The sequence below is a fragment of the Homo sapiens genome, chromosome 7 (assembly GCF_000001405.40).
Source record: "Homo sapiens chromosome 7, GRCh38.p14 Primary Assembly".
Classification (NCBI taxonomy): domain Eukaryota; kingdom Metazoa; phylum Chordata; class Mammalia; order Primates; family Hominidae; genus Homo; species Homo sapiens.
Window position 1 is genome coordinate 106,910,694 of NC_000007.14, and position 17,341 is coordinate 106,928,034.

Sequence of the window (17,341 nt, forward strand, 5' to 3'; positions counted from 1 at the left end):
ATAGTAATTTTTTTTTTTTGAGATGGAGTCTCACTCTGTTGCCAAGGCTGGAGTACAGTGGCACTGTGTAGGCTCACTGGAATCTCCATTTGGGTTCAAGCAATTATCCTGCCTCAGCCTCCCGAGTAGCTGGGATTACAGGTGCCCACCACCACGCCTGGTTAGTTTCTATATTTTTAGTAGAGATGGAGTTTCACCACATTGGCCAGGCTAGTCTTGAACCCCTGACCTTGGGTGATCCACCCACCTCAGCCTCCCAAAGTGCTGAGATTACAGGCGTGAGCCACCGTGCCCAGCAAATAGTGATTTTTTTTCTTTTTTACCTCACATTTATTTTTTTCCATTGAGTTTTAGGAAATGACTTTATATTATTTGAATTTATAAGGGGAAAAAGTTATATCTTTTCATTTTGAAAAACAACACAGTCTGCATAATAATTATATCCTTTAGCTTACATCATGACTCATTTAAAGCTCAGAAAATTTGGTTTCTCAAAGGAAAAAAAATTATGTGAAGTCAATAATTATTAAGTAGTGGCATCAAAGCTATTGTCAGAACTTCTTGGTGTAAAAATGTCCATGTAAAAGTTTCCTGCTTTACCAGCCACACCTGGTTTTGATCTGTTGTACTGCTAAGGCTGGCCTTGATTTCTCCCCTAAAATAGCAATGCTTTTGGAGAAGGGCCTCTAAGGATGTTGTCTATTAATCAGTGAGGGATGCCTTGGCTCGTGCAGCTCTTCTCAGATCTGCAGACCTCATGCAGCCAGTTGGCCATGCGGAGCTCTCTAGCTCACATCTGAGGTCCCCCTTGGAGGTGCAGACAGCCTCATTTTCACTTCTCATGAATGTCAGATTCTTTTCTAAGCATTTGCTCATTAGTATGAGTAAAGCTCATTGCCTGCTGCTTGGGTAAGAATTTTCTCTCTGGGGCTGGACTCTGAGTCTGCATCCATAATGCACTTGGCATCTGTCTTGGGGACCGTAATGGGGCACAGGGATATACCAAGGAACACAGAGTCCATTTGCAGCACCTCAGTGGCGATTCTCTACCTCTCACAGCAGATGGACAGCCATCTGAGAAGTTTTATACTCGGAGAATCAAACTCAGAATCTTTTGATTACACGTAAAAGTTAAAATGGGTCCTTACTACCTGGCAGAGATCCACCCATCATTATCACCACTGTGTGCAAGGTCTGTAGCTACACAGCACCTCCCATCACCAGATGTGTATGGTGGCCAAAGCTATGCTGGTCCCCAGCACCCTCCACTCTGCACCTCTCCTTTGCATCACTAAGCACCCTGTTCTACAAAAACAACAACAACAACAATAACAAAAACAGAAAAAAAAAACAGCCCTGTTACTACTGAGGGCTTCCTCCGGTCAAATCCCATGGCCACACATCACTGCCAAATCCCTGACCTCTCCCAGGATCTGCTCTCCCCAATCTATGGTTCAGAGAAGACAGTTCCTCATTTTTGAAGCAACTCCTTGCTCAGGCACTACCTGCTTAAAGTGGCAGGGCACATTCTACAGGCTTTCAGCAGGTAGGATTTGATTACTTTAATCTGTGCAGATTTAAAGGAGTATGAGACTCGTGAGATCCTGGAGAAAACTCAGAGTGAGCATGTGTGGCTGTGGACACAAGGTGACCTTAAGCCAGCAATTCGGGGATAATCTATTTTAGAGCCTGAGCAAGACACTGCAAGGGCAGTTAATAGGTAAGATAGAAGTAAAGAGTGGTTTAGGTGGCTTTGGCATTAGATCATTTCAAATTCAAGTACCAATTGTCACTTGAACAAGCTGCCAAGTTTCAGCCCTCTCCTCTGTAAACTAGGGAGGACAGTATAGTACCTGCTTTACAGAATTACTGTGCTGATTAATTGAAATAATGAAAGTGAAGCATTAAGTAGAATTCTGGCCAAGAGTTACTGCTCAATAAGTGATCACTATCATTTCTATATTCTTTTTAAAGAAGGATAAAAAATCTCAAGAAATTAAAGCCAAAAGTTCAATGGCATCACCCTTGGAGTGTGACTTTTAGGAGTACTTTAAATGATGAAAATCTTAACAATTTTCTAAGTACAGTATCTTCTCAGTAGGACTTCAAAGGAAAAATAATTTCCATTCTCTGTCAACATCAGATACCAAGGAATCTTCTAAATAGCAACCTTCTCTGATGAGTTATTCTAATCAATGCAAATTAGTTCCTGGGTCTGGGCTTAAAGAAAATTAGAGAAGCTAGAATCAATTGACAATGCTACCAACTCCCATTTGCTTTTTGAATCAGCTTTATGGAACATTGCATGAATAACTTTCACCAATTTTAAATGTAGAATTTGAGGAGTTTTAATAAATACATAAACCCATGCACCTACCACTATGTTCAAGATAAAGAACAATTCCATCACGCCAGAAAGTTCTCTCATACCTCTTTGCAGCCAATTCTAACCCCTAAGAACCACTGAATTGCTTTCTATCACTATAGTTTTGCATTTTCTAGGATTTTATATAAATGGAATCCTACAATATGTGGTCTTTTGTGCCCAGCTTCTTTCACATAGCATAATGCTTTTGAGATTCATCTATGTTGCCTAAATAAAACATAATTTAGGAAGGCTCAGTTTCTGGACAGATTTGCTGCAGTTCATTCTAGAGCCAAATGCCAAGTTTCATTTTTAATTGTCTGCTGTGTATGATTATCCGTACCAGTGGCTCCTGCTCCATTTTAGAGTATTAAGAGACCTCATTATTATTACATTACCTTGTTGCTATTTATACAAGATATTAATAGTAGGTGATAAGAAGCTTTCATTTCAGAGGCTTTATTTTCTCGGATTTGGTTTGGTTTGGTTTGGTTTGGTTTGAGATAGGGTCTTGCTCCAACCCAGGCTGGAGTGCAGTAGTATGATCATGGCTCACTGCAGTCTTGACTGCCTGGGCTCAAGCAGTCCTCCCACCTCAGCCTCCCAAGTAGTTGGGACAGAAGCATGCACCACCACACTCGGCTAATTTTTTTATGTTTTGTAGAGATGAGGTCTCACTGTGTTGTCCAGGCTGGTCTCAAACTCCTGGGCTCAAGCGATCCTTTCACCTTGGCCTCTCAAAGTGCTGGGATTACAGGCATGAGCCACAATGCCTGGCTCTGCTCTGGTTTTAAAATAGTGTAGGAATAGAACACATTCTTCACTACTGCTAAAAAAAAAAAATCCCCTCACAGGGCCAGCAGACAGAAGAGCACAGGAACACTTGAAGTCAGCAGAGAACCTTAAAGAGAACTTGTGGAGCAGTTTCTCAAACTTCACCATGTACATGTATCACCTGGGGTTGCAGACTCTGATTCCACAGGTCTAGGGTGGGCTCTTAGGTTCTGCATTTCCAACAAGCTCCCAGGTGAAGCCAATGCTGGCAGTCCCCAGGCCACACTTTGCATAGCAAGGCTCTGTAGGACATAGAGGCAGATTCAGTGAATGAGGAAAGTCAAATCAACAAGAGGGCTGAAAATATGTACCAATCTGTGTTGCGCAATACTTCTCAGAGACATGAATTGTCATCATACATGATGAACTACACACATACATGCATCATCAATCTCTTTTTTCAAATGGTGCCTCAATTTTCTCAGCCATAAAAGAGGCCTGATAATACCTAGCTCTGTGGGAGGTAGACCCCTAATATGGTCCTCATGATCTTAGCCTCCTGGTTCTCATGCCTTTGCGTGATCCCCTTCCTTTGAGTATGAACTGGACCTGTCAACTTGCTTCTAACAAATAAAACATGACAAAGGCGGTACAATTTCACTTCCAAGATTAGGTTATAAAAAGCCTGTCACTTTCACCTTGCAGGCATTCTCTAGCTCTCTTTTGAACCTGCTCAGCTTGATGGAGGCCCTTGCCATGTAGTGAGATGCTCTGTAGAAAGATCTATGTGGCAAGGAACCCAGGGAGGTCTCCAGCCAACAGCTCGTGAGGAATAGAATTCTGCCAGCACCCGCACTGGTGAGTCGGGGTGGGTATCCTTTCAAGTCAAGCCTTGGGAGAGACCCAGAGCTATATCATCCTGCTAAGCCATCCCTGGATTCCTGACCTATGGAAACTATGAGATAATAAATACTGTGGTTTTAGGCCACCAAGTTTGGGGATAATTTGTTATGTGGCAATAGATAACTAATACATTTCAGAGTTTTCATGAAGATTAAAGAAGACAAACACATTAATGTATGGGTAAGAACTTAGCATAGCGCCTAGCACATGGGAGTTACTTGATGGTGTCAGTTAAATCTAAAAACAGCCAAGTCACAAACATCACCAGTACTTGTAAACAGCACCTGCAGCCAGTAAACTAAGGATAATCCATGTGTATAAAGTTTGCTAGTTTCCCCTTGTCAAGAAACTTTCAGACCCAAAAGTCTGACTAATACAAATAAGTAAAAAGAAACAACTAAATGTCCACAGGTGTGTTACATATATGTAGACAAACCCACTTTTAAAATGTAAGATTGGGCCGGGCGTGGTGGCTCACGCCTGTAATCCCAGCACTTTGGGAGGCCAAGGTGGGCAGATCACCTGAGGTCAGGATTTCGAGACCAGCCTAGCCAACATAGTGAAACCCCGTCTCTACTAAAAAAAAACACAAAAAATTAGCTGGGCTGGTGGCAGATGCCTGTAATCCCAGCTATTCGGGAGGCTGAGGCAGGAGAATCGATTGAACCTGGAGGCGGAGGTTGCAGTGAGCCAAGATCATGCCATTGCACTCCAGCCTGGGGGACAAGAGTGAGACTTTATCTCAAAAATAAAAATAAAATAAATAAAATGTAAGATTGTTTTTTTTCCCCCTAGATCTTGGAGCAAGATCAAGTGCCCCAGCAGGTACTCAGGCAATGATGATGATGATGATAATGATGATGATGATGATGATGATGATGATGATGGTGGAAGGGGAGCTCCCACTCAGCTGTGTTTTGTAAAATGATGATCCCACTTTTTCTTCTCATTTCCCCTCTCCTAACTTCTAGTTTATTCAAAGAAGCAAGTTCAATCGCAAGCATCAAGCTAAATGGAAACTATCAAGAAACATTTAAGGGAAGTCAGTCCCAGGCTTAAAGCTGCTACTCTCTTAATAGCAATAACAGCCATTCATCCTCAGCTAGAAAGAAAGAAAAGGATCAGCATTCAGACAGCTCTTGCAGAAGCCCTCAAAAGGCCTGAATGATTGTTAGCCATGCTTTTGCTTCTGCCTTCATTTAGATTTTAGCAAACACTGCCACAGATCACTCAGAGGTAGCTAAAACTGGCTAGGGTGGCTAATAAGATGTTGCCGAGAGCTGGAGTGAAGTCACAGATGAGAGCATTGAAACCAGTGGTTGAAACTGGCTCAGTACCACCAAAACCTCTACGAAAATCACTGTGAAAGCCTCTAAAACCAAATCCACATTCAGCAGACATTTATTCAGCGTCGATTATGCATGTGGCCCTCACCCATACTAGATCATCCTGTGGAAACAAAAATAAGTCAGGCACTGTCTGGTGGAGGGAACAGGCTCATGCACACTTGACTATAATAGAAGAAAATCTGTGATAAATCATGATCTACTGATGCCCACTCTGTTCTAGGCTTGAGCATGGGGGCAGGAATATAAACAAGACCTCTTGACTAGGAACACAAGACAGATTGTGATGTGTTATATTCAAGGTATAAATAAAGAGCTCTTACAAAGGTGGTAAGAGCTTTTCCAACTAAGGGACCAGGAAAGGCCTTCTAGAGAAAGTAACATTTGAGGTAGGTCTTGAGGTATGACTAGGATCTCAACGTGTGGGTCAGAGCATTCCAAATGGGGTGAGAGTGAGAGCAGCAAGACAAAGACAGCAAGGGGTGAACATGCAAGGTGAGTCAAGAAATACCAGTAGAGCACTATGGCAGGAAAACCAGCTTAATGCTGAAAAGTAGAAGCAAAGGTTACAAGGGCCTTGAAACTGAGGAGAGGAGGCTGGATTTATTCTGCATGTAATAGAAAGGCATTAATAACTGTTAAGAACAATAGTGATATGGCCATTCGTTAGTAAGAACACTTTAGGTGGCTAGTAACTGAAACCTAATTCAAATTGGCTTAAGCAACAAAGAATGTATTGGTTCATTTAACTGGGAAGTTCAAAGATGCATCTGGCTTCAGGCTCAACTGATGCCAAGGAATAAAATGATGTCATCTCTTGGCTCTACTTTCCTCTTCTTGATTTCTTTCTCAAGGGAGTTCTTTCCAAAGATGTGGCAAAGATGGCAAATCAAATCAGCTTAAGGCTTAATCCTAATAGCTTAGCCTCTCTTGGGAGAAGAGATTGCTTCTTCCCCAATAGTTCCATCAAGATCCTGGACTGAGTCTCATGTGATAACTTTGGTCACCCAGTACAAATATGAACACCATGGCCAGGGAAATACATTGCCTATCCTTGGAGACAGAGAGTAGGGTTGGCACCATCCAAGCCTCATTAACTCATTTACAGCAGGAGGCGGGTGGTACTTAAAGGAAAATCTAAGTGCTGTTTTCAAAAGAAGAAATGGTTGCAAATCTGGCAAAAGAAACTGTTCATTAGAAAACAGAAAAAAATTATTCCAGCGGCAATCTGTTGAAGCAAACTGAGAGAGAGGCCGGGCGTGGTGGCTCATGCCTGCAATCCCAGCACTTTGGGAGGCTGAAGTAGGTGGATCACCTGAGGTCAGGAGCTCGAGACCAGCCTGGCCAACATGGTGAAACCCTGTCTCTACTAAAAATACAGAAAATTAGCAGGGCATAGTGGCACGTGCCTATAATCCCAGGTACTGGGGAGGCTGCGGCAGGAGAATCACTTGAACCTGGGAGGCGGAGGTTGCAGTGAGCCAAGATCACGCCACTGCACTCCAGCCTGGGTGACAGAGCAAGACTTTGTCTCAAAAAAAATAGGGAAGAGTATCCCAGAGGCAGGGAAAACTCTGCAATAGAGTAGACAAGAGACAAAATGGTGTGAATCAGGACAGGATCATGGGCATGGCATGGACCAAATAGTTGTTCAGGACTTCACATAGAGTGTCTAGTGATCAAAAGAGAAGTAGATTTCGGAATCGTCTTTGTAATAAATATGATCTGGGGGGGCATATGGTACAAAGTCAAAACTTGATTTCTTCTATATAGCATGCTTCTACCCATGTTAACTAAGTTCAGGTGACCTTAATGGGTTATCATGGTTTACCGGATATCAGAACAAGCACAACCTAAGACAACTTGGGTTGAAGTCAGACAAACATTATATACACAGGTCTACTGAAAGAAAAAAAAAATTATTCTTTCATATTACCTGTGGATTTACATTTCTCTTCAATTTCCTTTAAAAAGAAATGACTTAAATTTCAACACTAGGATTATAAAATCCATAGCCATATATGTGACATAAGAACTCTATTCTGTGTATTACTACCATAGCCCAAAATGGAAGAATGCAGGATTCTCTTTTCATCAAGAAAGTACTAGAAGCAGATGGGATGGGGAGAGAATCTGGGACATGGGGAGTCCTGGGTCCACCCTGGGGCAAGACATGCCAGCCTCCTGGCTTCCTGATTCTTATCTGGACAAAGAAGAAGTAGAGCTGGACTTTGCCAAAGGTCCCTTTCTTGTCTACCATTTTATGATCCTAAACCCAAAAGTTCCCCAAACCTGGGAGTTTCCTTCACAGGGAAAACTTTGAATCTCCCTGACTCTGTTTCCCTAGCCAACCTGCTCTGTGTCAGTTCTACAAAAAGCCCTATGGTCACTGTCATCAAAAAAATATAATACCACATGGTTGGGAAGCAGCATTCCTGGATAGGTCACCAGCCACCTCCAGTGTGAAGAGCATGGCCACAGTCATGCCACCCACCCCTCAGATGGCCAGGGCAGGAGGAAGCCGCCATTGCAGTCCTATAATGTAGAACATGGAGCACAGCACAGCTTAGTTCAGAAATGGCAGGCCCAACAACCAGCAAGCCCTGCCCATTTGGAAAGAAATGGGGTAAAGGATGGTTCTAGCAAAGCTCAATGTTTTTATGAGGGGCCTTTTGGTTGGAAATAATGGAAAATCACTCTCATGAAGAACAAAGATGGGGCACTGGCTTCTAAGGTGGCCAAATAGGAAGAGCTCCAGTCTGCAGCTCCCAGCGAGATCAACGCAGAAGACAGATGATTTCTGCATTTCCAACTGAGGTACCTGGTTCATCACATTAGGACTGGTTGGACAGTGGGTGCAGCCCATGGACAATGAGCTGAAGCAGGGCAGGGCGTCACCTCACCCGGGAAGTGCAAGGGGTCAGGGGATTTCCCTTTCCTACCCAAGGGAAGCCGTGACAGACTGTACCTGGAGAAAGAGTACACTCCTGACCAAATATTGCACTTTTCCCACAGTCTTAGCAACCAGCAGACCAGGAGATACCATCCCATGCCTGGCTCAGCGGGTCCCACACCCACTGAGCCTTGCTCACTGATAGTGCAACAGTCTGAGATCAACCTGCAACGCTGCAGATTGGCAGAGGGAGGGGCATCCACCATTGCTGAGGCTTGAGTAGCTCACAGTGTAAACAAAGAAGCCAGGAAGCACAAACTGGGCAGAGCCCACCACAGCTCAGTAAGGCCTACTGCCTCTATATAGTCCACCTCTGAGGGCAGGGCATAGTAGGACAAAAGGCAGCAGACAGCTTCTGCAGACTTAAACGTCCCTGTCTGACAGCTCTGAAGAGAGCAGTGTTCTCTCAGCGTGGCATTCGAGCTCAGAGAATGGACAGACTGCCTCCTCAAGTGGGTCCCTGACCCCCATGTAGCCTGACTGGGAAACACCTCCCAGTAGGGGCCAACAGACACCTCAAACAGATGGGTACCCCTCTGGGACAAAACTTCAAGAGGAAGGATCAGGCAGCAATATTTGCTGTTCTGCAGCCTCCGCTGGTGATATCCAGGCAAACAGGGCCTGGAGTGGACCTCCAGCAAACTCCAACAGACCTGCAGCTGAGGGGTCTGACTGTTAGAAGGACAACTAACAAACAGTAAAGGAATAACATCAACATCAACAAAAAGGACAACCACACCAAAACCCTATCTGTAGGTCACCAATATCAAAGACCAAAGGTAGATAAAACCACAAAGATGGGGAGAAACCAGAGCAGGAAAGCTGAAAATTCCAAAAAACAGAGCACCTCTTCTCCAAAGGATCACAGCTACTTGCCAGCAAGGGAACAAAACTGGACAGAGAATGAGTTTGATGAGTTGACAGAAGTAGGCTTCAGAAGGTGGGTAATAACAAACTTCTCCGAGCTAAAGGAGTGTGTTCTAACCCATCGCAAAGAAGATAAAAACCTGAAAAAAGGAAAGATGAATGGCTAACTGGAATAAACAGTATAGAGAAGATCTTAAATGACCTGATGGAGCTGAAAACCATGGCTAGAGAACTTCGTAATGCACGCACAAGCTTCAATAGCCGATTGGATCAAGTGGAAGAAAAGATATCAGTGACTGAAGATCAAATTAATGAAATAAAGAGAGAAGACAAGATTAGAGAAAAAAGAGTGAAAAGAAACGAACAAAGCCTCCAAGAAATATGGAACTATGTGAAAAGACCAAATATACATTTGATTGGTGTACTGGAAAATGACGGGCAGAATGGAACCAAGTTAGAAAACACTCCTCAGTATATTACCCAGGAGAACTTCCCTAACCTAGCAAGGAAGGCCAACATTCAACTTCAGGAAATACAGAGAACACCACAAAGATACTCCTTGAGAAGAGCAACCCCAAGACACGTAATTGTCAGATTCACCAAGGTTGAAATGAAGGCAAAAGTATTAAGGGCAGCCAGAGAGAAAGGTCGGGTTACCCACAAAGGGAAGCCCATCAGACTAACAGCTGATCTCTCGGCAGAAACCCTACAAGCCAGAAGAGAGTGGAGGCCAACATTCAACATTCTTAAAGAAAAGAACTTTCAACCCATAATCTCATATCCAGCCAAACTAAGCTTCATAAGTGAAGGAGAAATAAAATCCTTTACAGACAAGCAAATGCTGAGAGATTTTGTCACCACCAGGCCTGCCCTAAAAGAGCTCCTGAAGGAAGCACTAAACATGGAAAGGAACAACCAGTACCAACCACTGCAAAAACATACCAAATGGTAAAGACCATTGATGCTATGAAGAAACTGCATCAATTAATGGGCAAAATCACCAGCTAACATCATAATGACAGGATCAAATTCGCAAATAACAATATAACCCTTAAATGCAAGTGGGCTAAATGCCCCAATTAAAAGACACAGACTGGCAAATTGGATAAAGAGTCAAGACCCATTGATGTGCTGTATTCAGGAGACCCATCTCACATGCAAAAATGCACATAGGCTCAAAATAAAGGGATGGTGGAAGATCTACCAAGCAAATGGAAAGAAAAAAAAAAAAAGCAGGGGTTGCAATCCTAGTTTCTGATAAAACAGACTTTAAACTAACAAAGATCAACAGAGACAAAGAAGGCCACTACATAATGGTAAAGGGATCAATTCAACAAGAAGAGCTAACTATCCTAAATATATATGCACCCAATACAGGAGCACCCAGATTCATAAAGCAAGCCCTTGGAGACCTACAAAGAGATTTAGACTCCTACACAATAATAATGGGAGACTTTAACACCCCACTGTCAATGTTAGACAGATCAACGAGACAGAAAGTTAACAAGGATATCCAGGAATTGAACTCAGCTCTGCACCAAGTGGACCTAATAGACATCTACAGAACTCTCCACCCCAAATCAACAGAACATACATTCTTCTCAGCACCACATCACACTTATTCTAAAACTGATCACATAATTGGTAGTAAAACACTCCACAGCAAATGTAAAAGAACAGAAATCAAAACAAACTGTCTCTCAGACCACAGTGCAATCAAATGAGAACTCGAGATTAAGAAACTCACTCAAAACTTCACAACTGCATGGAAACTGAACAACCTGCTCCTGAATGACTACTGGGTAAATAACGAAATTAAGGCAGAAATAAAGATGTTCTTTGAAACCAATGAGAACAAACAAACAACATACCAGAATCTCTGGGACACATTTAAAGCACCATGTAGAGGGAAATTTATATACTAAATGCCCACAAGAGAAAGCAGGAAAGATCTAAAATTGACACCCTAACATCACAATTAAAAGAACTAGAGAAGCAAGAGCAAACAAGTTCAAAAGCTAGCAGAAGGCAAGAAATAACTAGGATCAGAGCAGAACTGAAGGAGATAGAGATAAAAAATACCCTTCAAAAAATCAATGAATCCAGAAGCTGATTTTTTGAGAAGATCAACAAAATAGACCACTAGCAAGACTAATAAAGAAGAAAAAGAGAGGACGCAATCAAACAGATGCAATAAAAAATGATAAAGGGGATATCGCCACCGATCCCACAGAAATATAAACTACCATCAGAGAATACTATAAACATGTCTACTCAAATAAATTAGAAAATCTAGAGGAAATGGATAAATTCCTGGACACATACACCTGCCCAAGACTAAACCAGGAAGAAGTTTAACCTCTGAATAGACCAATAACAGGTTCTGAAATTGAGGCAATAATTAATAGCCTACCAACCAAAAAAAAAGTCCAGGACAAGACAGATTCACAGCCCGAATTTTAGCAGAGGCGCAAAGAGGAGCGGGTACCATTCCATCTGAAACTATTTCAATCAATAGAAAAAGAGGGAATCCTCCCTAACTCATTTTATGAGGCTAGCATCATCCTGATACCAAAGCCAGGCAGAGACACAACAAAAAAAGAGAATTTTAGGCCAATATCTCTGGTGAACTTCAATGCGAAAATCCTCAATAAAATACTGGCAAACCAAATCCAGCAGCACCTCAAAAAGCACATCCACCATGATCAAGTCGGCCTCATCCCTGGGATGCAAGGCTGGCTCAACATATGCAAATCAATAAGTGTAATCCATCACATATACATAGCCAACGACAAAAACCACATGATTATCTCAATAAATGCAGAAAAGGCCTTTGACAAAATTCAACAGCCCTTCATGCTAAAAACTCTCAATAAACTAGGTATTGATGGAATGTATCTCAAAACAAGAAGAGCTATTTATGACAAACTCACAGCCAATATCATACTGAATGGACAAAAATTGGAAGCATTCCCTTTGAAAACTGGCACAAGACAATGATGCCATCTCTCACCACTCCAATTCAACATAGTGTTGGAAGTTCTGGCTAGGGCAATCAGGCAAGAGAAATAAATAAACTGTATTCAATTAGGAAAAGAGGAAGTCAAATTGTCCCTGTTTGCAGATGGCATAATTGTATATTTAGAAAACCCCATTGTCTCAGCCCAAAAACTCCTTAAGCTGATAAGCAACTTCAGCAAAGTCTCAGGATACAAAATCAATGTGCAAAAATCACAAGCATTCCTATACACCAATAATAGACAAACAGAGAGCCAAATCATGAGTGAGCTCCCATTCACAATTGCTTCAAAGAGAATAAAATACCTAGGAATCCAACTTACAAGGGATATGAAGGACCTCTTCAAGGAGAACTACAAACCACTGCTCAATGAAATAAAAGAGGACACAAACAAATGGAAGAACATTCCATGCTCATGGATAGGAAGAATCGATATCGTGAAAATGGCCATACTGCCCAAGATAATTTATAGATTCAATGGTATCCCCATCAAGCTACCACTGACTTTCTTCACAGAACTGGAAAAAACTACTTTAAAGTTCATATGGAACCAAAAAAGAGCCCGCATAGCCAAGACAATCCTAAGCAAAGAGAACAAAGCTAGAGACATCACGCTACCTGATTTCAAACTATACTACAAGGCTACAGTAATGAAAACAGCATGGTACTGGCACCAAAACAGATATATAGACCAATGGAACAGAACAGAGGCCTCAGAAATAACACCACATATCTACAACCATCTGATCTTTGACAAACCTGACAAAAACAAGCAATGGGGAAAGGATTCCCTATTTAATAAATGGTGCTGGGATAACTGGCTAGCCATATGTAGAAAGCTGAAACTGGATCCCTTCTTTACGCTGTATACAAAAATTAACTCAAGATGGATTAAAGACTTAAATGTAAGACCTAACACCATAAAAACCCTAGAAGAAAACCTAGGCAGTATCATTCAGGACATAGGCATGGGCAAAGACTTCATGTCTAAACCACCAAAAGCAATGGCAACAAAAGCCAAAATAGACAAATGCAATCTAAGTAAACTAAAGAGCTTCTGCATAGCAAAAGAAACTATCATCTGAGTGAACATGCAACCTATAGAATGGGAGAGAATCTTTGCAACCTACCCATCTGACAAAGTGCTAATATCCAGAATCTACAAAGAACTTAAACAAATTTACAAGAAAAAAACAAACAACCCCATCAAAAAGTGGGCAAAGGATATGAACAGACACTTCTCAAAAGAAGACATTTATGCAACCAACAGACATATGAAAAAATGCTCATCATCACTGGTCGTCAGAGAAATGCAAATCAAAACCACAATGAAATACCATCTCACGCCAGTTAGAATGGCAATCATTAAAAAGTCAGGAAACAACAGATGGTAGAAAGGATGTGGAGAAATAGGAACACTTTTACACTGTTGGTGGAAGTGTAAACTAGTTCAACCATTGTGGAAGACAGTGTGGCAATTCCTCAAGGAACTAGAACTAGAAATACCATTTGATCCAGCCATCCCATTACTGGGTATATACCCAAAGGATTATAAATCATGCTACTATAAAGACACATGCACACGTATGTTTATTGTGGCACTGTTCACAATAGCAAAGACTTAGAACCAACCCAAATGTCCATCAATGATAGACTGGATTAAGAAAATGTGGCACATATACACCATGGAATACTATGCAGCCATAAAAAAGGATGAGTTCATGTCCTTTGTAGGGACATGGATGAAACTGGAAACCATCATTCTAAGCAAACTATCACAAGGACAGAAAACCAAACATCACATGTTCTCACTCATAGGTGGGAGTTGAACAATGAGAACACATGGACACAGGGTGGGGAACATCACACACCAGCAACTGTCACGGGGTTGGGGGCTTGGGGAGGGATAGCATTAGGAGAAATACCTAATGTAAATGACAAGTTGATGGGTGCAGCAAACCAACATGGCACATGTATACCTATGTAACAAACCTGTACGTTGTGCACATGTACCCTAGAACTTTAATAAAAAAAAAAAAAACAGTTGCAAAAAATACCTAGAAAAATCATCAAAAAAAAAAAGAACGAAGTTGAATTTGTTTTGAGGATATCAATCTGTCTCACAAAATCTTGCAACAGAGAGTACACCCAGGCTTCCCAGGCAAAGAAACAGGAACTAGAGAGCCAACACAAGTTCTTCCAATCTCTCTTTTCTCTCTCTCCCTTCCTCTGCTGTATCTTTCTCTGTGTGGACTCTAATCTCTTTCTCTCTCCCTGCATATCAGCTTTCCTTCTTTGAGTGAGTAGGTGGTTAAGCATGGATGCCTCTCAGCTCTCCTCTGATTTGATTACCTAGTTTAAACTTCCAGAATCTTTTGTTCGACTTCAAATGGCATTGGCTGAGCTTTGGTCAAGAGTCCACATCACGGCCCATCAGTTATGATCAGGGATGTGGGATCGCATGGGGGAGACAGGGCTGCTGGGATCTACCCCTATGACACTGGAAATATGGCAGACCAAGTATAGTTGACCCTTGAATAACATGGGTTTGAATTGCATGGGGCCACTTATATGCAGCTTTTTTTCAACAAAACAGTACTCACAAATGCAAAACCCCATATACAGAAGGCTGACTCCTCATGTATCCAGGTTCTGCAAGGCTGATTGTAGAACTTGAACATGTACAAATTTTGTTTTATGCAGGGGGTCCTGGAACCAAACTCCTGCAGGTACCAAGGGATGGCTATATCTCAAACTCTTTGGTCATTAATGCAGATATGTAGATATAGAAATATTTCAGCCTAATTTTCTGTAATTTTCTTATTCAAATATTTATTTGCATATTAAAAAATGTACATCAGATGGCTCATGCCAGTAATCCCAATACTTTGGTAGGCAGAGGCAAGTGGATTGCTTGAGCCCAGGAGTTTGAGATCAAACTGGGCAACATAGTAAGACCCTGTCTCTACAAAATATTTCTAATAATTAGCTGATTATGGTGGTGCACAACTGTGGTCCCAGCTACTCAGGAGGCCAAGGTAGGAGGATCACTTACGCCCAGGAGGCTGAGGGTGTAGTGAGCTGTGATCACCACTGTACTCTAGTTTGTGTGACAGAGTGAGGCCTTGTCTAAAAAAAAAAATGTACATCAAGATATTCTCTGGGGCTAGGGGCAGTGGCTCATGCCTATTCCTAGCACTTTGGGAGGCCAAGGCAATTGCAACAGAAACAAAAATTGACAAGTAGGACCTATTAAACTAAAGAGCTTCTGCACAGCAAAAGAAACTATCGAGGTGGGCAGATCACCTGGGTCAGGACCAGCCTGACCAGTCTTGAATGACCAGCCTGGCCAACATGGTGAAACCCCGTCTGTACTAAAAATACAAAAATTAGTCAGGTGTGGTGGTGGGTGCCCGTAATCCCAGCTACTAGGGAGGCTGAGGCAAGAGAATCACTGGAGCCCAGGAGGCAGAGGTTGTAGTGAGCTGAGATCATGCCATTGCACTCCAGCTTGGGTGACAGAGTGAGGCTCCATCTCAAAAAAAAAAAAAAAGAAACTATCAACAGAGTAAATACGCAACCTACAGAATGGGAGAAGAGATTCACAAACTAGGCATCAGACAAAGATCTAATATCCAGAATCTAGAAGGAATTTAAACACTTTAACAAGCATAAAACAAATAATGTCATTCAAAGTTGGGCAAAAGACACGAACAGACACTCTCCAAAGAAGACATATAAGCGACCAACAAACCTTTTCATCATCATCAGAAAAAAAACTGTTCATCATCACTAATCATCAGAGAAATGCAAATCAAAACCACAATGACAATACCATCTCACACCAGTCAGAATGGCTGTTACTAAAGACTCAAAAAACAACAGATGCTGGTGAGGCAGAGAAAAGGAAACACTTATACAGTGTTGGTAAGAATATAAATTAGTTCAGCCACTTTGGAAAGCTGTTTGGAGATTTCTCAAAGAACTTAAGCTAGAACTACCATTTGACCCAGCAATCCCATGACTGGGTATATATCCAAAAGAAAACAAATTGTTCTACCAAAAAGACTCATGCACTCACGTGGTCATCACAGCACTGTTCACAATTGCGAAGATATGGAATCAACCTAGGTACTCAATAACAGTGGATTGGATGAAAAAATATGGTACATATATACCATGGAATACTATGCAGCCATGGTAAAGAATGAAATTGTGTCTTTTGCAGCAACATGGATACAGGTGGAGGCTATTCTCCTAAGTGAATTACACACAGGTACAGAAAACCGAATACTGCATGTTCTTACTTATAAGTGAGAGCTAAAAATCGGGTGCTTATGGACATAAAGATGGCAACAGTAGAGACTACTAGAGAAAGGAGTTGAGGGAGGGTTGAAAACTAATTGTTGGGTAGCATGCTCAGTACCTGGGTGATGGAATAATTTATACCCCAAACCTTTGCAACATGCAATATATTCAGGTAACAAACCTGCACATGTACCCTCTGAATCTAAAATAAACATTGAAAAAAACACATTCTCTGGTATTCACGTTTTCTGCATAGCCTAGGTACATAGGGTCTCCCTGGGAAGACACCACTGCTCAAACTGAACATCACTATCATTCATTAATAGCCATCACAACCACACGAAAGAAAAGCAATTCAACTAACAGAAGTTAAACCTCCTTTCTTTCACCCCTTAAGTGAACTCAGGTCATTAGTTCTCCCCAGTGGAGTATGCAGCTGACATTTAGTGAAGGAAGCATAAAAATGATTTCTGGGTATGTGGGTGTGTTTCATGCAAACGCTTTTCTTCAGCAGCTTCTGACTTCAAATGAGAACTCCAGGCACTAGCAGGCATGTTTAGTGCTTAATAAATTTCAGAAAAGAAGAATAGAAGTTATATGGTTTCCCTGGAAACCTTTTCTAAAGAGCTTGCACATGCACCTTCTCAAGAAGCAGGTGCTGCAGCTTGAGGACTCTTCCCTGTCCTAGGCTATCCACTAAAGGGTCAAGGCCAGGGTTCCTCAGTTGCAGCTCCAGGAACAGTGGTTGGGCTTATTTCGCTTAAGGTTATTTAATGTCAAGTCTCTCTTTAGCAGCTTGTTCAGTG